The sequence below is a fragment of the Homo sapiens genome, chromosome 9 (assembly GCF_000001405.40).
Source record: "Homo sapiens chromosome 9, GRCh38.p14 Primary Assembly".
Lineage (NCBI taxonomy): Eukaryota > Metazoa > Chordata > Mammalia > Primates > Hominidae > Homo > Homo sapiens.
In genome coordinates, this window is record NC_000009.12 from 87562654 (window position 1) to 87585812 (window position 23159).

The window sequence follows — 23159 nt, forward strand, 5'->3', positions numbered from 1 at the left end:
ACATTATTTACACCTGAAAGAAGTTGAGATTGTCCATGTAACCACCTGACATACTGTTTTGCTTAATTTAAAGCACACTGTCCAGAAGGAAATAAATAAACCTTGCCAAGTGTAATTCATCAAATAATAGCATGTCAGGTGCCCAAATTTGGAAGACAGATTGAAGCAAAAGTCTGCTGCTATTGCAGAGCAAAGACAATTTGCTTTATATTAAACTTAAGGAATGATTTAAAGAGGATTCTTCCCAGGCATGATGACTTGCTCAGCTTTTTTATAGAACCTCAAACAAGTGCTGACCTCTTAAACTTTTTTACTTTCTTCATGACAAATGATGTGATTTGGAGTGAAGGTTGGACAATGGAAGGAGGGTGATGATCCGCCTAGAGATTTGGTACTGGTGAATTTCAGGGGCAGATCTTGGGCCCCTCTTTGTGAAATGCTCATGTTTCTATTCTGTTGTCTGGAAGCATTTTGTAAGCAAAAGAGACTTTTTGTTCTTTATTAACTGTACCTTCCGGCATTCTTTCCTGGTAAACTCCAATTTCTAAGTTTATAAGTACATGCATTTGTCAGAATTTAGTCAACCAATCCACACAAATTTATTAAACACATACTGTATGAGGAAGAATATGGGAGTAGCAATTGAGGGCACAAAGATGAATATGATTTTTAAGCTCCTTGAATGCTTTTGAATTTAAGTGGTTCACACTCCCATTTGAAAGATACAGTGTGAACACCTGCACTAACACTATTTATTTCCACTCTGGGATGGGTTGTAGTGTTCATGGTCTCAGAGAACTGTGCCTCCCTGTTGCATCTTGGCTTGACTCCCCGTATTCCCTGAATTGGGGCTGGCCTTGTGGCTTGCTCTGCCCAGCAGAGTCTTGCAGAGAGACATGTGTGATGTCCAAGGTTAGACCTTGCTCTTGTGGGACACTTTGCTTTTATGTAAAGATGCTCTGTCAAGCCTCCTGGAGGATAAGAGGCCATGTGAAGTGAGAGGCCCAGCCATCAGTCAGCACACACCACCAGATGTTCAGGTGAGGCTGTCAGCCCACCAGCCAGCACCTCCCACCCCACCGCCTCTCAGACTGCAGACATGTGGCTGAGCCTAGCCAGCACCAGGAGGAGGAGATGACCTGCCCAGCTGAGCCCAGCCCATGTTGCAACCCACAGAGTTGTGAGCATGTGAATGATTGCCATTTGGGCCCCTAAGGTTGGAGTGGTGTGTTCGTGCCCAATGGTTGATCAGTGTCCACTCCCTGCTCATGCCCTCTGTGACAGCCGCGTAGACCTTCTTGCCACAATGGCATAGTTTTTGGCGCCATTTTGGATATGTTCTTTATTTAGTTTAGGATGCCCGTCTCCCCTTTTCCTCCTTGGAGCTTCTTTTTCCTATATTCAAAACCCAGGTGCTTCTCCGGATTCCCTCTGGTGCCCTCCATACACATCTCTGTTACTGGCACTTTACTTTCTACATTGCACTCTGCTGATTTGTTTACAGTTTAGTCTGATGCTGACCTCTGTAGGAAAAGAGTCTATTTTCTCTCTACTGGCTCTTGGGCCCTGACTCAGATCCTGGCACACAGTATGCTTGGTGGGTTATTGGGTGACAAGGCATAGAGAATAACTACTATGTGATGTCAGGGGGTATGGCTGACCAGTCCTGGCTGTCCCATTCACTGAGACATGTGTGACAAATGACTCACCACTTAAGGCCCATTTTTGTTAACTGGGAAATGAGGGTTTCTGTCTTAGTCCACTTTTTCCTGCTCTAACAGAATACGTGAGAATGGGTAATTTATGAACAATGGAAGTTTATTTTGCATATGGTGCTGGAGGCTGGGAGGTCCAAGACCATGTCACCAGCATCTGGTTATGGCCTTCCTACTGTGTTATTTCATGGCAGAAGGCAAGAGGGATGGGGAGGGAGGGAGGGGGAGAGAGAGAGAGAGAGGAGGAAGGAGCAAGAGGGAGGGAGGGAGGAAGGGAGAGAGAGAGATTGAGAAAAAGAAAGAGAGAGAGAGAGATGAAGCAAGGTAAACTCATCTTCTTAATCTGGAACCAGCTCCCACAATAACTGCATTAATTCATTCATGAGGCAGAGCCGTCATGATCTAATCACCTCTTAACGGTCTCACCTCTTAACACTGTTGCATTGGGGATTAAATTTCTAACACATCAACTTGGGGAACACATTCAAACCACAGCCAGTGCCACTGGCTATTCTGATTCCAACTTTCTTATGTGGTAGAAGCAATAAAGACTCTTGGATTTCTGAAGAGGAAGAGCTGATAGCCCTGTGGTTTCATTTCTTCATTGGTTTTGGCTGAAGGCAAGTGGGTTTCACTGTGTCTGGGAAAACACAGTGAAAACCAGGAAGACCCTATCCACATTTGCTGAATGCTGGCAGGCAGTGTGCTGTGGAAATTCCCAGAAAGACTTTTCACACAGAAGCTCAAAGGGCCCGAGGTCACGAATGCTCCAGAAAGCACCACCACAGCTCCTTGGTGACTCCCAGGATATGTTGCAGAGGTCCTGGCAGCCTGGAGGGCAAACAGTTGAGAGCATGAAAAACGAGTGTCGAGGCTGTAGAGAAAGAAAAACGTGAGACAGAACTCAGGGAGACAAGTTTGCCTCTGGGAGCTTCTCTGAGGGGTTGAAGCAAAACGCTGAAGAATCACAACCCCATCCTCTGTCCAGAGCAGAATCTGACTTGAGGATGCAGCTCTCAGGATCAAAAGCAGAGGAGCTCGAGGGATGATGTCTTCCAATGCCCCCTATTTTATGGTTGGGGAAAGTAAAGCCAGGAGAGGTGAAGTGCCTCACTACAGGTCATTGCAGCAGGCTAATAGGAGAATGGCTAGTATGGCACTAACTCAGGTTACAGATGGAAGGGAATTTACCTTCTGAATTTCTGGACCTCCAAAGAAGGCTGAATGTTGTGATGTTCTTTCTGCCTAGAAGAGAAGTAAAATGATGAGGAACTCAAATCCGACTTCTTGAAATCTGAGGTTTGGGCTTGAACCCAGACCTACCATTTTCAATTTACTGTTCTTTTCCCCGTTTTTCACTCTTTCTTTTTATCATCCTGTTTCCACTGCTACTATCATTTTTATTATTGCTACTCGCTACTCCTAGTTGTACACGAACATTTATCTTTACCATATGGCAGGCACTGTGCTAAGCTCTTTACATGTATTATCTCATTTCATTCTTCCAAGAACCCTGAGAGGTAGGCATTATTCCCTTTATTTTGCCAGTGATGAAACTGAGACCCAGAGAAGTTAAGCATCTTGCCTGAGGTCACACAGCATTTAGTGGCAGTGCTGAGATTTGAACCTTTTGTCTCTCTGTCTCAGCATTCTTTTTTTTTTTTTTTTTTGAGTTGGAGTCTTGCTCTGTGGCCCAGGCTGGAGTGCAGTGGCACGATCTTGGCTCACTGCAAGCTCCGCCTCCCAGGTTCACGCCATTCTCCTGCCTCAGCCTCCCAAGTAGCTGGGACTACAGTCGCCCGCCACCATGCCCGGCTAATTTTTTTGTATTTTTAGTAGAGATGGGGTTTCACCATGTTAGCCAGGATAATCTCGATCTCCTGACCTTGTGATCCACCCGCCTCGGCCTCCCAAAGTGCTGGGATTACAGGTGTGAGCCACTGTACCCGGCCCTCAGCATTCTATTAAGAGTTCTTGGAACTGCATCTCAGCTATGTCATTATAGAGTTGGTAGTCAACTATTAAGCCATTCTTGTTCTTTAGGAAAGTAGAATCTATATATCTCCAAGATGATATGACTCAACAAAGTAGGGCCTCCAAAAATTGAGGCTGTAAGCAATGCCCCAAATGCTCCAATGAAAGAGGAAAAGTGGAGGGAGGTAAATAGTTATTGGTAAGGAAATTTTCTAAATAAGTAAGCTCAGGTTATTTAAAGGATCTACCAAAAATAAGGTGAGGAGAATCAATTTTGTAAGTAGTGATGGCTACAGAACTAGCCTAGACCAAACCTGGCTGATTGTGACAAATACTAAATATAAAAACAAAATGAAGCAAAATTGTAGACTGACTGATGTTCGGAATGAGAAGAACAAGGATGGGTTGGACACGTTGGTTGGACTCTTGGAAGGATGAAAGGAAAGCAGCAAACACTAACAAGCTGGTCATCTCAGGCCAACCGTGTTTCTTTGTCTGAGCACATCATTGCACTGATGAAACAGAAATTTTATCACAGCATACAGGGGGTTTTGGCAGGTCCCTCCTTGCAATCACTATGGAAAGAGCATGAACTGATAACTATACATTCGGGTGCCTGGTTGCAAAGAAAAATAGCAAGAAAGCTCATTAATGAAGGGTTGCTAATGCAGAGAGAAGCTCCCCAGAATTCACGTTGGCAGTTAATCTGAAGATATAGATGGACTGCTCATGAAATCTAGAGTTCCTTCCAAAACAAATTATTGTGAGATTAAAATATTCTCTTTCTGTTGGCACAGCAAGTGAAGGCAAAGTCATGGGAACCTGGTGGACTTTAGAAATGCTTGGCCTCTCCTCCCGTGGTGGCTGGTGCCAAGTCAATCTGTAGCTGATTATTGTCTCGAATATGTACTCAAATGAGCTGTGTAGTAGGCCATCTGCTGTCTCCTCGACTCAGCTGATAGGCCCTGGAAAAGGGAAATCCTGCCAAAATGCAAATATCCTACTTAACTGATAATATAGGGAGAGGAGATACAGGCTGTGGGGGAATGGGGGTAGGGAAGGGAATGGGGCGTGGGGAAGAAATAAGTGACTGTCTTCACCCTTCCTCGATGTCTTTCCATCCTCCTGTGTTTCTTCCTGTTAGAGAAAGACCAGGTGTGGATCAGTAGACCCCGCTCACAATTGGAGTTGCGGGGTCAGACTGGAAGTAGCCAGGGAATTAGGCTCGGTTGTGAGGATGCTTTTTGTAGCCTCTTCATTTGAATTCAAGAACCTATAGCCTCTTGGTTTCCACTGGCACGCTTGCCATGGTAGGAGCCCTTGTTAGGATTAAGCTTTTCTCAGTGCTGGAGATGGAGTTGTTGCACTCATAGGGCTACCACCTGGATTCCTCAGATTGCCTCCGAATGAGTCTGTGAGCCCCACCCCACCGGACCTCCCTCCATGGCGTCCCTCCCAAGCATGACTCAAGGGTTCTGAGTTGCTGTGTTGAATGGATTGGCTAGCGATCGTTTCCATGGGCATACTGCTCCATCATTTCCAAATGCTTTCGTGTTCACTTTCAGTTTCTTTTAATATTTATAGACACCCCAAAAAGGCTGCCACTATTCAGTTGAAATGGTAATGCTAAGGAAACTAAGGCTCCAAGAAGACGGTCCAAGGTCTCATGGCTAAATGAGTAGAAGACCAAAACTGTGATTACAAAGCTGTCACCAGCTCTGCCCCTTTAGGGTGAGTTACTGATGAAAGAAGAGTTGGCTCTGCAGACAGCAGTGAGGAGGAGTGAAGCCACCCAGGCATAAGGCACCGGGGAGCTGCGGGCCTGTGTCCAGCTGGAGCGCACGGGGCCATCTGAAGGGGCAGTCGCTATGCATTGGGCGCTGACTGCCTGCAGGCCGTGGGCCAACGCTGCCAGCTCTTCCAAGTCTTCATGCATTGCTGGGAATCAGAGTTTTAAAATATTGACAGTGGATTCAGTTCTTTTCAAAACACTGTGCCCATTGCTCTGGATCAAACAGACACCATCCCACACAACACTCCAGTTGTGATCAGTGGATTAAAGCAACACTCCTTGGTGAATAGGCTTCTTTTGATGGTACTTGCATTTGAAAAGAGTTTTGTTGAAGCAATTTAGCTTCTAATTAATGCATTCTGTGGGGGAGATGTTTTTTCATGGAGTCATCTTCTTGTGCCTGCTCTGGGTCCCCCAGCTTCAAGGAATGTTGGCTAAAGAGAGTGGGAAGGTGGGATGCAGTGTGGGTGGCGTCACCTTGCAGCCTGACCGTGCCTCCTCCGTCCTCTCTGCACAAGGTGACAACCCACTAGGATATGGAAGGGGAAGGCTGTCACATGTACCTTGTGTGATGCACCCAAGTTATTACAAATCATTTTCTAAAAATCCTTGCAGAGTGGGTAATGGGTCTCTGAGCCATATAGTGTTGGGGCTGTTGCAAAACTGGTCCACTTCCAAATTGCAGGCCTTGATCATTTACTCCCTGGGTGGGAAAGGGGAGCTCTCCACAGTAAAGAACTCATTTCTTGTCCTCAGATGTGTGGTGGTCTGATGTGATGAGCAGACTTTATACTGAGAAAGGAATTTTAGAGGAATACAGAATCCAGCTAACTTAGTAGGAGTGATTAAAAAATACTGGAGGTGTGGGGCGAGGCAGATTCTCTTGATAGAGGAAATTCTCCAGGTCACGTGTGTTTTTTTAATAAGTAGCATCCCTTTGCATTAACCTCAGTGGTTCTCAGCCTTGGCTGGTTGGGGAATCCCTCTGAACTTTAAACACTGCCTGTACTTGGGCTCAGCCTCAGAGATTAGGACTTAATTGGTGTGGAGTCTGGTGAGGGCATCTGGACTTTCAACAGCTCCCCTCCCCCACTGACGATGGTTGAGAATTACTACTCCAGTCTGTGAGTTTTAGAGTTCACTGTGCATCAGAAGCACCCAGGAGCTCTTTAAAATGCAGGTTGCTGGGCTTTGCCCCATGGACTGAATCCAGAGTTCACGGGGGAGCCCAGGAACCTGTATTTTTCAAAGCTCTACCTCCAGCGAGACTCAGGTGATCATTGACTTATGTGCTTCATCGCAGGTGCCCATATAGAAATACGCAGATAGGTTATTTCAATTTGCAATTAATACATATAAATACTTTAGTGTCCTACTTTTGACAAGCAGTTGGATGGAAAATCGATCTTTTGAAATGGATGTCAGTTTAGGCTCAAAACGTGTGATTACCTAAGTTCTCACTGCTGGAGAATTCAAGCTGATAGGCCATGTTTTTCAAAGGAAGTGGGTGCAGAACTGGATCCTGTCAGTGTCAATGCGGGTGCATCCGGGTGTGTAGCAGTGCCTTTTGGTTAAACCCAGGCTTTCCCTACGAGAGGTCTTCCAGTCCATTAATCTTGTGTTAAGTTTCTTGGCTGGAAGGGTGGTTTATAGAAGTGGTGCCAAACAGCTGTAAATGCAAGGCTGAGAACTATTTGTCCTCTTCCTTTATTTTTAAGACTTCAGAAAACAACTTTCACTAAATTGGTAAATAAAGTTTTAGGTATTATTTTCTGATTAATGAAATCACCATAAACTACTACTTCTAGACTTCCGAATGTCATGATTTTATTTCTGGTCTTATTATATTTGTGTTTCTGAGTCTTAATGAGCTAGAAATGCTTATAAGACAAAAGCAATGTGTGTTTTTTCCTGCATCAGATTCTTTTACACCTTATCTTGAAGTTTGCATAACTGAGTCACTTTCTATTTTTTTTTAATCACTTTGATAAGAGAAAAATTTATGTTAGTTGCAGTCCAGGAAAAAGAAGGCACAAACACTGCTGATCAAATATTACTAAAGCTTTTATGGACTCTTGAACCTCATTTTCCCTCCCATATGTACACAAGACACACTTCATTCTTACTCTGTTTATGCCTCTCTGTCTAATAGAAACTTCACTTCTGACTCCAGCTTTGTCTAATTATTAACACAGAGAGGTACTAGAAGTTGTCCATTAGCAAAGAAGAGAAAAATTATGTTTAGGGAACTAATTTTATAACAGCTTAAAATGGCTTTGATGTAAATCTGCCAGATGCCTCTTTTTATATCATCAAATACTTTGCTTTACCTTGAAGAATATTACCCCCAGGTTGGGACAGGAGCTTTCCCATTCTTTTCATTATTTTGTATGTAAAAAAAACCCAAAAAGCCAGTTGTACCTCTCGTAAATAATACATGTTTTCCTCTGCAGAACTGTAGTCTATGTGACACCTACAAACAAGGGACTGCTTGAGGAGTGAAAACCTGGCTTAACCCAGGCGTGCACTTCTTAGGGAATTCTTTATAGGAAGGAGTCATCATTCATAGCAGTGATTTAGAAGATTTCATTCCAAAGATTGAATTGCCTGTTCAGCTGTTCAAAATGCCTGATTCCCCAGATTTCAGGAACAGCAGAGAGGGGAGAGAAACCATTTGCAAACACATAGGGTGTCGAGTAAGAGTCTCAGAGATTTTTTTCTTCCCATCTGAAGTGTCATATGCTCAGTTTGCTTCCCTTGCTTACATGTGGAACTGACCCCTAACTGTGCTGATAAGAGAAGAATAAGTAAGTAAACACCCCCAGGATTTGAGGCTGATAGAAAAGTCACTTGGTTTCAGTGAACTGGACTGGAACACGAGCTTTTTGTTTGCTCTTGAAAGTTTAGCACTTGAATTTCAGGTTGGGCTGTTTAGTTCATTAAAGAAAATGTGGATGCCTCATGCCAACGCCTGTTTTCTTTAGGCCTTGAGAATAGAAGGCATTGTGTATTCGGTACACACACACTAAGGGAACAGTGACTTAATTGTACCCTGGGAACAAAAGCCATTACCTGAGGACAAGATGGGAGACCCCAGGCTTCTGCTCTCTGTTTCTCTCTGCAGAGTCAGCATTGCTGGGAACCCTGGAGCAAGTATCTGAACTGTTGCTGGTGTTTGCCTGTGAAATTGTAATCATGGGCTGGTTTCTCCTGGAGCTTAAACATGAGGGGAACTTGGCTCTGTGGGGAACCTGACTTCTTGTGAAGAGACCCAGAGCCTAGGCCCCATCCCCCACCCCCCAACACACACACACACACACACACACACACACACACACACCAACACACACACACACACACCCCAACACACACACACACACACACACACACACACCAGAAGCGAAGCAGGCGGAGAGGGAAAAGGGAACAGAGAGGGTTTGGTTCTCCCATTTGATCTGTCTCCTTGCAAACGTTCCAGTGACATAAATGGATGGTTGCATCCTGCGGCTGCCCATCCGTCTGCCAGCAGTCCACCTTCAGCTGATGCCATGTAAACAGCGTTTGCACACTTTCCTTAAACAGTGATCTGCGGGCAGTGCGTGCGTGCCAATGAGAGAGCTTGGGGGCCTTTGGAGTTTTGGGGGATACCCTTGATTATTCTCTCACACAAAGGTGGTGCCTCTGTGTCCCCTGGGATGGGGACATGGGGGTTGGAGGCCTCTCTCCTTCTGAGGGGCTAAGTGGTTGGCCTTGCTGTTGGCTTGAGCCAGCTCTTTGGTTGCAGACCGTGGAGTCCCAGGGATCTTCCTTCCAGGGCTTTGTGTTTTCTTTTGCCTTTGTGGATCAGCCAAGGCCACCTTTTAAGAGTTCTTTGTTCACTGGGGAGGATTCTGTCATGCCAAGGGCTGGGAATAAAAAAGTCACAAATAGAAAGACTTGCTCAGCATTGGCAACTCCCATCCCTCAGTGGTTCTCTTGAGTTTTGGTAAATCTAGACTGATGAATATAGCAGCTAATGATCATAGTAGTAGCAGCAAAAACAAAGCTGGCATTCATTAACATATCACACTGCCCCATGCCTTTTATACATTAACACTTTCAATCCTCATAGTAAGAGGTCTCTATTTCTTTTAATGAAGCAAATGAAGAGCAAGTATTTAGACCGGGTTCTATGACAATGGCTACTAAATATATTATATTCTCCTTGAAGTCGTGCCGTTATAGATGGGAGCCAGCTTTTCTCAAATTTCAATGTGCTTATGAGTCACCTGAGGATCAGGCAGATTCCAATTCAGTAGGCGATATTGTTTGGATATTTGTCCTTACCCAGATCTCATGTTGAATTGCAATCCTCCATGTTGGAGGTGGGGCCTGGTGGGAGGTGTTTGGGTCATGAGGGTAGGTTACTCCTGGCTTGATGCTGTCCTGGTGATAGTGAGTGAGTTTTGGTGAGACCTGGTTGCTGAAAAGTGTGTGGTTCCTCCCCCTCACCTTGCTTGTGCTCTCCCCATGTGAAGTGCCTGCTCCTACTTCACCATCCACCAAGAGTGAAGGCTCCCTGAGGCCTCCCCAGAAGCTGAGCAGATGCCAGTGCCATGCTTATACGGCCTGCAGAATCGTGAGCCAATTAAACTTCTTTTATTTGTAATTTACCCATTCTCAGGTATTTCTTTCTTGCATTGCAAGAACAGCCTAACACTGTAGGTCTAGGTGGGGACTGAGATTCTGCATTTAAAACACACATCCAGATGAAGCCCATGCTGCGGCCCACAGAATGCATTGGGTGGTGAGGTTCTAAGCTAGATATTGCCAAGCCTGGCTGAGATTCTGAAACACACAGCTCTCCTCCCACCTTCCAGATGCTGATTCTGAAGACAGGAGTTTCGCTTATACAAAACACTGAGCAAACTGGGGTTCTAAGCGTATCTGTGATCTCTGCAAGGCCACACGGACAGCACCCAGCCTTCTGGGGTTCAGAACACCTTCCCTCCTCATAATACCTCTGACTGCATGTTAAATGGCTCTGACTGCATGTCAAATGGTATCATGTGCTGAAGGGTGTGTACAAGTTTGTGTCTTTCCTTCTTGCTGACATCTGCCACAGCTGACAACCCACCTCAGATGCCAAGGGGAATGAGCTTCCTTTCCTACCTTGTAACCTGAGCCAGGTCTTCCTCCAGGCAAGCCCATCGTGCACTGCACATTCCTCATAGGCACTAAAGCTCTGTCTCTCCTGGATGGAAACCCTGCTCCCTGGAGAGATGGTGATACTGGCTTTCTGTTCATTGCACACAGTGATACAGTAATACAACATCCAGAGATGATGGGAGAAGGAGCAGAGAGGGAGGGAGGGGTGAGTTTGTAAGAGTGGGGATATGTAGCTCTGAAGGAGGCTTGGTGTGTTTGCAGAGAAGGACAGCACAGCTGAGGGCTTTCCCAACATGGCTGTGCTGTGCCACCTCTTCCTGACCACCAAGGATCAGACTTCTGGAAGAAGAAAGTGGCTTCAACTCCAGTCAGCACTTTATGTCAGTGTCCTGTCACCTCAGGACTCTGATCTTGTCTGGTTACTTCTTTAAAGCTCCAATACTCCAAGTGTCCAGGAATTGACCAAGCTGTGAGAAATGCTCTTGCAGGGTTGATTTCATGCCCCTTATCTCTATAATTCTAATGAGAGCTCATCTTTGATTATTTTGAGTTTTGAAGGTTTCTTTAGAGATGTTTTCATTACTGAATGCTTAGGATTAGTTTGGGCTGCTTGTGACAGAAAACCTCAAATAATAATGACTTAAAGAAATAGGAGTTTATTTCTATATCATATAGAAGGAGTCTAGGCTGATATGGCAGCTCTGTGATATCAAAGACTTTGGCTTCTTTTATTATGCCACTGTGCTATCCTAAGCATGAGACTTTGACTTCATGGCCAAGATGATTCCTCATGCATTAGCCATCACATCTTCATTCCACCCAGCAAGAAGAAAGAAGAGAGAAAGAAAGTCACGTCCTTTCCCATGAAAGACATTCCTTGGATATTGCACACCATAATTCTGCTTACATTCTATTGGTCAGAACATAACAACATGGCCACAGCTAGCTAGTTATGTGGCCATAAGGAAGACTAGCAAAAGTAGTCTTTATACCAAATGCCAGATTCTCAGCTAAAAATGGGTAATTCTAGGACCCAAGACACAGTGAAGATCAAATATTGGGATAAACAACTACCGTCTCCACCTCATTGGGGTCTTAAGGTCATTCAAACCTAGGTAATGTTTGGATTTGGCCCAAAAATTTCCAACAGATGCTTCCCAGCCATTTTATATATATCACAGGAAGTTTGCAGTCATGCTGGATCTCTTAATCGTTCCTCCAAGAGGAGGCAGAGCTGGCCCTTAGAGGTGATATTAATTAACCATGGCTTAATAATTTAATTAATTACAGCTGGCATGGAGTGCAAATACAAGGAGAAAACTGCTGGCAGTCATCTAAATTTGAAGGTAGAAGGTGACCAGGCACGGTGGCTCCCGCCTGTAATCCCAGCATTTTGGGAGGCCAAGGTGGGCAAATACCTGAAGTCAGGAGTTTGAGACCAGCCTGGCCAACATGGTGAAACCCCGTCTCTACTAAAAATACACAAAAAATTAGCCGGGCTTGGTGCTGTGCACCTGTAGTCCCAGCTACTGGGAGGCTGAGGCAGGAGAATCGCTTGAACCTGGGAGGTGGAGGTTGCAGTGAGCTGAGATCATGCCACGGCACTCCAGCCTGGGCAACAGAGTGAGACTCTGTCTCAAAAAAATAAAACAAGGCCGGGCGTGGTGGCTAACACCTGTAATCCCAGCACTTTGGGAGGCTGAGGCAGGTGGATCACCTGAGGTCAGGAGTTCAAGACCAGCCTGACCAATATGGTGAAACCCCATCTCTACTAAAAATACAAAAAAATTAGCCAGGCGTAGTGGTGTGCATCTGTAGTCCTAGCTACTCGGGAGGCTGAGGCAGGAGAATCACTTGACCCTGAGAGGTGGAGGTTGCAGTGAGCCAAGATTGCACCACTGCACTCCAGTCTGGGCAACAGACTCCATCTCAATAAAATAAAATAAAATAAAATAAAATAAAATAAAATAAAATAAAATAAAATAAAATAAAGGTAAAAGGCAAGATGCATACATTCATAGCCGTTATCTCGTGCTGGCCTCAGCTTGCTGGGGATGTGCACGTGTGTTTGGAGCCCAGCAAAGAGCTTCACAATAACAATCACAGCAGGAGTAGAAAAATGGGCCTCGCCTCAGCACCAGAAGGAGTGCATGGGTCTGTGTCAGCATTGGGTGCTTTATGGGGTGTTGTGAGGGCAAGAAACCTTAAGGAGCGTGTGGTTTCTGAGATCCCGATTTCGAAAAAACAAAGCCCTGAGCTGGAAGTCCCAGGCATGTCACTGTACCTCCATGGAGGTTACAAAGGAGTAATTTGAGGAGTGGCATCAATATTATTTAAATGTTGAGAATCAAATAGATTTTGAGAGCTAGTGCAGGGCTGAGTGGAAATTGTCCAAATTTCTGTACAGATGAAGACTCATAAGTGGGCTGAACGTTATCTCTCCCTCCCGACTTTTTTTTGACCTAACAGCAAACACAAAGTATTCCCTTTAGAAAAGAGTGTACGAAGAGTGGTGGAAAAATAGGAATAATTTCCTTCAACCTAATCATCCCAAACTCAAACAAAACAACCCTCGCATTCTCAGGCACTAAGGTGCTCCCTGGCAAGGGAAGTCAAGGGTGGAACAGAAGGTACAGATAGAATTTATACCTCATGGGGCCCACGACAGACCCAGCTATGCCTGGGAGGAAGGCTGTGAATGCAGCGAAGTCCTGAAACCCAAGAAAATGCCTTCCGTGGTTCAATGTTTTGCTTTTTCTCTAACAAGCTCAGGTTAGCGGTAGTCAGATGTCTCAGTGTGAGCATCTCTTTAATGTTAGCATTCAGCATTCCAAACTTGGGTGGACTTTGATGAGTTCATTCTTCATACACGTACACACACGTGCACACACGCATGCACACACATGCGTACACACGTACACACACACGGGTCAGAGTTAATGAAAATGTGTTTGAGTTTGTGCTAAAGGCAAGCTGAGCAGATGTTTTCCTGTAGTGAGTGTGTTACTTCATTATCTGTGCTAATAATTATAAGAATAAAAAGCAAAGCGCAGTGGACTCCTATATTTGCTCTTATGTTTTGTACTGTCATCTAAATCATGTCTCTTCAGGCGCGTGTTTGCTTCTGGGGATAGTTTTATCTTGTCAAGTGTGTTTGTTCTTGGAGGAAGGAAAGCAGGCTTGGGTGACTGGTGAGCCTTAGTTGCATTTTGGCCTCTGCCCCTCATGAGCTGCCTGTTACTGATAAATTACTGTGTTTCTCTGGATCTTGTTTGTTTTGTTTTGTTTTGTTTGAGACGGAGTCTCTCTCTATTTCCCAGGCTGGAGTGCAATGGCGCTATCTCGGCTCACTGCAACCTCCGCTTCCCAGGTTCAAGTGATTCTCCTGCCTCAGCCTCCCAAGTAGCTGGGATTACAGGCACCCGCCACTGCACCCGGCCAATTTTTGTATTTTTAGTAGAGACGGGGTTTCACCATGTTGGCCAGGCTGGTACCAAATTCCTGACCTCAAGTGCTCTCTGCCCACCTCGGCCTCCCAAAGTGCTGAGATTACAGGCGTGAGCCACCGCGCCTGGCCCTGGATCTCGGTTTTAATTGTCCTACAATAGAAATGGCAGTGCCCTCCTTATAGCACTGCTGTGAGCACGAGGTGAGCTCCAGGGTATGGAAACACAGGATCCAGCCCAGTGCCCAGCAACCTGCAGCTGCCCCATAAATGGGCATTTCCTTTCTCTGCCTTGATTGTCCTTTTGCCTTCTTTGGATCAAAACTTTGCTGCTCAGTGTTTGGGGAAGAGATAATATTCTGGTTTGTCCCTCAAATATATACGGGAATCTGGTATGGAACTCAAGATCAACGAGGCAAACCTAAGAAGCTGTGTGTGTACAACTGTGGTTCTCAAAGTGTGGTTTCTGGACCTGCATCATTTTCATCATCGCCTGGAAACTGGTTAGAAATGCAGATTCTCAGGTTCCACCCCAGACATAACGGAATTGGAAACTCGGGGTGGGGCCCAGCGGTCTGTGTTTTAACTAGACTTCAGGTGATTTGAATGAGTGCTAACATCTGAGAGCTACTAGTCTCTACATCTAAGTTATCAGACCTCCTTGAATCTTAGACTTCCCTGAGGAACATTTTAAAATACGAAAGCCAGGGTCCCCCCCAAGAGATACTGATTTAATGAGTCTGGGGCAGAGCCCAGGCACGAGGATGTTTTAAAAGATTCCATCAGTGAGCCAGGCACAGTGGCTCACGCTTGTAATCCCAGCACTTTGGGAGGCCAAGGATGGTGGATCACTTGAGGTCAGGAGTTCCAGACCGTCCTGGCCAACATGGTGAAACCCCGTCTCTACTAAAAATACAAAAGTTAACTGGGCGTGGTGATGCAGGGCTGTAGTCCCAGCTTCTCAGGAGGCTGAGGCAGGAGAATTGCTTGAACCCGGGAGGCGGAGGTTGCAGTGAGCTGAGATTGTGCCACTGCACCCCAGTGTGGTGACAGAGCGAGACTCTGTCTCAGGAAAAATAAAAAATAAAAAAAGACTCCACCAGTGATTCCTGTGTGTAACCAGGATCGAAAAATTCTGCTCTAAAGAATTTCTGTCTCATTCTCTCCCTTTCCCCTCCCCTCTTCCTAGGGTTGGGGATTGGAACTGGAGGAAGAATTATTTTGGAACAGGTGCTCAGAGGCGATGACAGGGATGAGGCGCGAGAAGCTACCCACAGGCCATAGAACATTTCCATTTCTTTTACCTCATTTGCTGGTGCTCTGATATTTTTCGGTGGCAGCCTTCTTCCGATTTTAAATGTAACTCATGCTCATGTAGAAAGTTTGAAAACAACATAGAAAACTTTGAAAGAGAAAATAGGACTCTCTAGTAATCCCATCCCCCGAAAGATCCCATTAAATGTTAACATTTTGCTGTATTAGCTTGCAGCCTTGCATCTATATGTCCTTTTTAATAGAAAATTAGGATCATATGGATGTATGTAGTTGCATAGCTTGCATTTTTAACCGAATATTACATTATGATAATGCATGATATATTTTTAATTTCATCTTCAAAGCTGGCATCAGATTGTACTATGTAGATTTATCATAATTAGCTCCACTGTTTTCCTCTGGTGAATGTCATTCTTTTCTTCCATGATGGGTACAAATAGCCTTGTAAAGCAATCTTTGATTGCTTTTCTGATTATTTCCTTAGGATAGATTGCTAGAAGTAGATGCACTGAGCCAAAAGTTATAAACATTTTAAAGGTTCTCGTTACATGGAGCTAAATTTGTTTCCAGAAGGGTTGTGTTGTCTTTACTCCCACTCTGAATAAGACAGTGCCTGTTTCCTTGTACTTTTGCTAAAGTTGGCTATTATCTTAAAATACAAAACCCAAACAAAACCAGAAAACAATCCCATTTGCCACTTTGCAGAGCCAAGTGTTCGTGCCCTTGACCTCTAGCAGCTCTCTGTGAATGTGGTCACAGATTCCTACACCCATGTGTCTTCATCTTCCTTTTACTCATCTTTCAGAGTCATGTTTATCTTTCAATGTCTGACAGCTTTAGTTTGGGGATTTTCGTCTTATCTTGGGATTTGAGGCCATCTGGGCTTCTCAGCTCTGCTCTTGCTGCTCCATCTTTATTGTATCTGGGCTTCATCTCTAATGTTTTGTACCATTTAGCCTCTTTGTGCCATGCACACCAGCCTAGACCAGTGTGGCATTTAGGATGACACCCTCATAAAGGCCCTTAATAAATGCTCTGGGATATTGCAGCAAAAGGCACACATAGCATTGCAAAGTTAAATTATTCAGGCTCACCGAAGTATATATAATCTATTCCAAGGTGAGACAGCACCCCCTCCCCACTGATGCACACATTTCCCCACCTGCTTCACACACACTCACTCAAGTGCACTTCTTCAGTGCATCACAAAGGGAAGTCTTTGAGGGCCTCTCACTAAAATAATCAGAGAATCCATCTTCTTGGACCTCCTTGATAAATGATGTTTGATTGAAGCGGTGAATGACTTGTTGCATACTTTCCTTTCAAACTGAGTGTGCATTACCCAGATAGAGAAGAGGAAGAGCACATTTCCACCCTTTCATTTAACATCTTGCAGTCATCCTAGCTTGACACAGTGGCAAAGCCATGCAGGTTAATAGCTTTAGCTTTGGGACCCTTCCAGAAGAAGCTCTGTGCCGGAAAAGTGGTGGGGAAATGGTAGATCCATCATAGTTTTAAAGCTGCTTCTGGCACCTTTACATCCTAGTTGCTCTACGTTGGGAATAATAGCAGAGGCACCCAGAACTGAGCATCACTTGGGAGGTAGAAAAGCTGGGAAGGACAAGAGCAGAAAGAAGAATTGAAATCTTCTACTCTGGCCACACATTTACACATTCTCTTCTATTATTTCAAAGTGATTCATCTATTTCTGTTTTTTTCAATTCAGGGAAATCAGCTGCAGGAATGAATGATCACCTTACTTTTATTCCAAAGGTTCCTGAATATGTTTTGTCCCATTCATCCATCCTTCCATCCAGCCATCCATTCATTCATCCTTCCATCCATTCCTCCAATAAAAATGTATTAAGTAGTATTATCCAACCTACTACTAGGAAGTAACCACTTGTGGATCAAGGTTTTCTAAAGCTTAGCAGTGATGTATAACACAGGAATGTGTGTTAAGTGTCTGGAAGCCCAAGTGGTGGCTTGGTGGGGACTCACTGGTATATAGAGAATGCTGTTTTCATTGAAGCTGGACTGTATGAAAAACAGTCCATGGAGCTAAATTTGACATGTAATAATCATGTCATTATATAAGGCCTCATTATTTAATGGCAGTGGTTACAGCAGATAAAGCAGTTGAGGAGGCAGGCAGGGAAAATCTTTAACTGTGGGTCAGAGAACTTCACGGTCATTGATGAAACTGCCCTGTGTGCTCTTTCTTCCTGATATTTCCTTTCAGTTCCTATTTTTAAAAATAAATAAATAAAAAGGGATGTCATTATGATTAGCTCATTTTGGGGATGTGGCTGGATAGTGACCCCCAAACATATCCTCCTCCTAATCCCTGGGACCTGTGAATAGTTACCTTCTATGGTAAAAGGGATTTTCCAGAGATGGCAACTGGAAACCTACATGCGGGTGGTTCCCAGTGCAAAGCAATCTCAAATATTTTGTTCTCATAAATATATTTTTACTTTTTAGACAACTTGCCCTAGTTTTCTGTTTGGAAAATATCTCCATAGCAGACAACACAGTAATGAATTCTATCCTTTATCTCTTTAGCTTTGGAGGAATTTCTTGCTTCATAGTTGAGTTCTTTGGATATTGAGCACTTATTGTATACAAGATTATATCTACAGCTAGCATAAGACCAAATACAAAGATTAATACCAGCTCCTACTCTGTATGACTTTACTACCTGCTCTAAAGCTCCCATCGCTTTGGCCTTATGTGATATCCCAATAGTGATTAAATTGCCCCTGTAAAGAAGACATATACGAGTCTCCCACATAGGACCGAGCGGTTAAGCTTCTAAAGAGGTTTTCTGAAGTTTTAAGGAGAAGCAGTGCTCTGAGTATGGGTCTGTCAGCATGTGGGGACACTTAATGTGAATGTTTGATCATTATTTTAACGTGTGCCCTTTGTACAACTTGACATTGACACTACCGTGAAATGTAAATTACACGGAACTCCATGGGACCACTAAACCCTCTCCCACTCAGCTACAGAGTTAGCAGAATGAACGCGTGACCCAGTTAGATAGCTATCGCGTAACTTATCTGAGTTCTCTCCGCTTGTTTTCAGTCTCCTTAACCACTTTCAAAATCATCATGTAAAAGTCTGTTGCACACTCTTTCCCTAGCTGTTCAGACTAAGCTCCAAAAGTCCATAGCTTCGGAAGACGCATGGACACCTCTGTTCCTTGGACACACACTGCTTTCCTCAAACTGCATAGTTGTGCCTTTGTTTTCATTTTCCCTTCTGAGGGGAGGAACAAGGACTAGCAATGAATGGCACCTGGCTAGGCGTTACCCTTGAACATCCTGATATTAAGTAAATAGGCAAATAAAGTCTCTTTGTAGGCAAATAAACTCTGGTTTGCCTGAGTACAAGCCATGATGATGGAATCAAGCTGTAATTAAAAAAAAAAAAACTTAGTTAATTTTACTTACAACAATATCCTGAAATCAAAATGGATTTAAAATTGCATACTTATCATGACCAATAATTAGAGAATATGGCTCCACAGCCTGTGGTTTTGGAGGCTTTGCAGCCCATTTCAGCTGTTTGTGTGTAGTTGTAGCTCGTTTGGGTTGTAAATTGGAATCTGATTCTTCCCCCCTAACTACCCTAGTTCCCTTCTGGCCTGTGGAAGATAAGCTGTTCTGGGTCAAAAGCAATGTGGTCACATGACCAGCCTACAAAACAGAGTCAGCCTTAAAACTTCCAGGACTGGACTGATTTGGAAACTTGGAGAAACTTTGCTACACAGGAAGATGTCTGCCACCGGGGAACAAACCAGCAATTCATCTCATGCCTTTCATCTGGAGTAGATCATGTGCCCTGAGGTCATATGTATTTTTAAACATTTATTCCCACTCATTTTCTTTAATTTGAGACACTCGGGCTTAATGTAGTAAGACATTTTAACTGAAATTTAATTTGAATAGGTCCTCACATACAGAGTTTGGTGCTCTACAAAAAATAACCAAGGTTTAAAAAGAAAACAAATCCAGGAGGCCTTCAAATATACCACTTAAAATGATCAACTTTATGTTTTTTAACAAAGATTGATTTTGTACTCTGCTGGAATGTGGCCCCGTACCAGGTGGAGCCTTCTCCTCCGGTCTTTTTTTTTAATGAGCTGGAGTAGCTAGTGAGATCTGAAATGGGTCTACGTAAAACAATTGTGAAAGAGTTGCTAGAATTTTGGCTTCTTTTCTGATTGTACCAAGTGGTGAAAGCAAAGTGGAGTTGGAGGTGAAATGAATTATTATAAAAGGCTAGGTATGTCATGAAAAAGCCAGCAGAGAAACAGCGATCATTAGCGTCTCTGGGACTGAAGCGTCTAGCCTGTTGGAGCTTAGTAATGGTTGACATTGAATGACAGTCTTCACTGCTCTTCAATACGGTGCTCAAGACTTAAAACGTGGTCAGGAGCAGTTGGCAAGTTTGTTGAGACTGACGCACCTCCTCAGTTGTTTCTGCTATGTTTACTGATGGCCATGAAGTGTTTCTCCTTACTATGGTCACACTTTGCCAATTTTCCTGCTTTTTTTTTTTTTTTGAGATGGAATCTTGCTCTGTTTCCCAGGCTGTAGTGCACTGGTGCTATCTCGGCTCACTGCAACCTCCGCCTCCCAGGTTCAATCGATTCTCTTGCCTCAGCTTCCCGAGTAGCTGGGACTACAGGAGTGTGCCACCACTCCTGGTTGATTTTTGTATTTTTAGTAGAGACGGGGTTTCACCATCTTGGCCAGGCTGGTATTGAACTCCTGACCTCGTGATCCCCCCACCTCGGCCTCCCAAAGTGCTGGGATTACAGGCATGAGCCACCGCGCCCAGCCAGTTCTCCCTAGTTCTAATGGGGTCACTGTACCATAAAAGACCTTGAGATACTGGGTGATCAGAACCACAGGAGCAGCAGCAGCAGCAGCAGTAGCTGCTGCATGGTAAGTTGAGACCCCAGATTCCTTCATCTTTTGTCAAGAAGCGGTTGACCTCTGCGATCTCGGGATTTGTCTTCTCCAGGTCAAGGGTATATACAGTTGGCCACTTTAAAAATGGCATGCCGTTTTTCTTTCTGTTATTAATAGAATGAAGGAAATAGGCAAAGAAATGGTAAATAAGGAGAAAGACTCTTAAGAGGTTGTAATTCACAGCCAGGATAGGGAAGAATAATATTTCATTATTACAGATTCCCCCTTTATTGTGGTATTTGAGAAAAACCCCCTCCCATGATACTATGCCTGACACATGAGTGTTCAAGGAACACTCGTTGAGTGGGTTAGTAAATCAATGAATGTAAGTAGCAGTCACTGGGAATGCAGGTAGAGACTCCAGTTGTTCCTCAGCATATTTAAACTTGCCACTAGGCAGGAGCACTCAGCACTCTACCCTCAAATGCGTACAGCAAATGTAACGAGCCCCAAGCAATAGGCTTGCTAATTCTTACAACTTTGACAAGCAAGGGGAAATAATGAATATCAGTACTGTGATCACTTGAAAGTGGAGAAGAAATGAATTGACCCCAAGTTTAAGAAATGTCATGCATAGAGAAAGAGCAGACTTCTGTGAGCAGTGAAAATCTAAGCTTGCGGCCTTCCCCTTCATCTCCCCACTGTCATAACCTGCACCCCACCGTGGAGTTCCTTGACCTCCTCATTTCCAGCCACCTTCTCCTCTACTGCACTGCTGTCACTAGAAACTCCACCCAAACCTTCATTTCCAGGCAGCCATACTCACAGCACCTCCTTGCCACTGACTAGTCCACCCTTTCCACCATGATAACTCTTCAGCCTCATTGGAACCTTTCAGCCTACCATGCTTTCTCTATCATTGCCCTTCTTTCTTCAGTTCATGGGGTTGGAGGTGGAGGTGAGAGTAACTATGAAATAATTAAGATCATACAGAAAATCCACTTCCCAAGGAGGACCACACTTTTAAAATCAGCTGAATCATAATCTCTATTTTTATTTAATATTGGGGCTGGATACATTTTTGTAGCTGTATTATTAGTATGCTACATACAAATCTTTTTTAAATTATTTTTTTAAATTGACAGATAAAATTGCATGCATTTACTGTGTACAACATGATGTTTTGAAGTATGTATACATTGTGAGATGATGAAATTTAACTAATTAATGTATGCATTACCTCACATGGTTATCATTTTTTGTGGTGAGAACACTTTACATTCATTCTCTTAGCATTTTTCAAGAATACATTACATTATTAACTATAGTCACCATGTTGTAAAATAGCTCTCTTGAACTCATTTCTCTTACCATTTTTTCTGGCCGAATAGTATTTCACTGTGTATATTTACCATATTTTCTTTATTCATTCATCCACTGATGATTGATTCCATATCTTGGCTGTTGTGAATAGTGCTGCAATAAACATGGGAGTGCAGACATCTCTTTGACATACTGATTTCATTTGCTTTGGATATATACTTACTAGTGGGATTGTTGGACCATATGGTAGTTCTATTTTTAATTCTTTGTGGAACCTCCAGATTGTTTTCCATTATGGCTGTGCTAATTTGCACTCTCTCCAACAGTGTACAAGGGTTCTCTTTTCTCCACATCCTCACCAACACTTGTCTTTTGTCTGATAGCAGCCATTCTAACAAGTGAGAAATGATAGCTCATTGTGTGTGTGTGTGTGTGTGTGTGTGTTTGAGATGGAGTTTCACTCTTGTTGACCAGGCTGGAGTGCAGTGGCATGATCTCAGTTCACTGCAGTCTCCACCTCCTGGGTTCAACTGATTCTCCTGCCTCAGCCTCCTGAGTGGCTAGGACTACAGTTGCCCGCCACCACGCCTGGCTAATTTTTGTATTTTTTGTAGAGACGGGGTTTCACCATGTTAGCTAGGCTGGCCTCGAACTCCTGACCTCAGGTGATCCACCCACCTCGGCCTCTCAAAGTTCTGGGATTACAAGCGTGAGCCACTGCGTCCAGCCGTATATCCTCTTTTGAGAGTTGTCTGTTAAGTCCATTGCCCATTTTAAAATCAGGTTATTTGTTTTCTTGCTTTGGAGTTGAGTACCATGTATATATTTTGACTGTTCACTCATTATCAGATGTATAGTTTCAAAACACTTTTTCCCATTCGGTAGGTAATCTATTCACTGTGTGTATTGTTTCCTTTTCTATGCAGAAACTTTTTCGTTTGATGTAATTCCATTTGTCTATTTTTGCTCTTGTTGCCTGTGCTTCTGGGGTCATATCCAAAAAGTCATTTCCCAGACCACAGAAATCTTGATGCTTGCCCTTTTGGAGCCATAAGCTCATCTGCCTGAACCAGTGGTTATACTAACAGGAATTCGCTAAACAGGGCTGAATGGAGACTTGTAGATGCCTTCAAGTACACAAATGCTTATTGTAGCATGTAGGTTGTCTATTTGGCTTCTGTACTCCAAACAGCAGAATATGTTTAAAAAGAAAACTATCTTAGTGCACACAAATTACGAGCTGGAAATGTATTCACATCATTTTAAGAAAATTATCCAGAATACACAGTCTGGGTCTCTAAGCTAATTTTGGTCTCTGTTATTCTTCTAATAAGGTGAACAGTCATACCTTTTATCTTCCAATGATTAATGTGCTGACTTAGCTATGGTTCATCTGAGTGACTTCACAACTATCTCTTCTGGTTCCCTTCTATAAATAATTAAGCTATGTCCTAGTTTTATATTATAGCTATAAAATTAGCCTAAAGCTGTGCTGTTTGACATGACAGCCACAGGCCACTTGTGGCCATCGAGCACTTGAAGTAGGGCTGGTTTGAACAAGATGT

The 23159-nt window shown here is 43.8% G+C and overlaps 1 protein-coding gene across 8 annotated transcripts in view, besides 4 other annotated features; it reads left to right on the top strand.

The window, feature by feature from the left end:
- DAPK1 (death associated protein kinase 1) overlaps positions 1-23159 on the top strand; it is a 211407-nt gene that overhangs the window by 65426 nt on the left and 122822 nt on the right. The window lies entirely within an intron of this gene.
- Positions 1137-1636: an enhancer, noted in NCBI's record as "H3K4me1 hESC enhancer chr9:90178705-90179204 (GRCh37/hg19 assembly coordinates)". NCBI's record gives its function as "activates a minimal SCP1, AML or CMV promoter by ChIP-STARR-seq in naive H9 embryonic stem cells {active_cell/tissue: H9 hESC(naive)}" and the evidence as "EXISTENCE:reporter gene assay evidence [ECO:0000049][PMID:30033119]".
- Positions 5535-5704: an enhancer, noted in NCBI's record as "experimental_108408 CRE fragment used in MPRA reporter constructs". NCBI's record gives its function as "activates a minimal promoter by MPRAs in K562 erythroleukemia cells, with activity observed for the introgressed 9:90183188 variant allele {active_cell/tissue: K562}" and the evidence as "EXISTENCE:reporter gene assay evidence [ECO:0000049][PMID:34662402]".
- Positions 7486-7655: an enhancer, noted in NCBI's record as "experimental_108410 CRE fragment used in MPRA reporter constructs". NCBI's record gives its function as "activates a minimal promoter by MPRAs in K562 erythroleukemia cells, with activity observed for the non-introgressed 9:90185139 variant allele {active_cell/tissue: K562}" and the evidence as "EXISTENCE:reporter gene assay evidence [ECO:0000049][PMID:34662402]".
- Positions 8480-8980: an enhancer, noted in NCBI's record as "H3K4me1 hESC enhancer chr9:90186048-90186548 (GRCh37/hg19 assembly coordinates)". NCBI's record gives its function as "activates a minimal SCP1, AML or CMV promoter by ChIP-STARR-seq in primed H9 embryonic stem cells {active_cell/tissue: H9 hESC(primed)}" and the evidence as "EXISTENCE:reporter gene assay evidence [ECO:0000049][PMID:30033119]".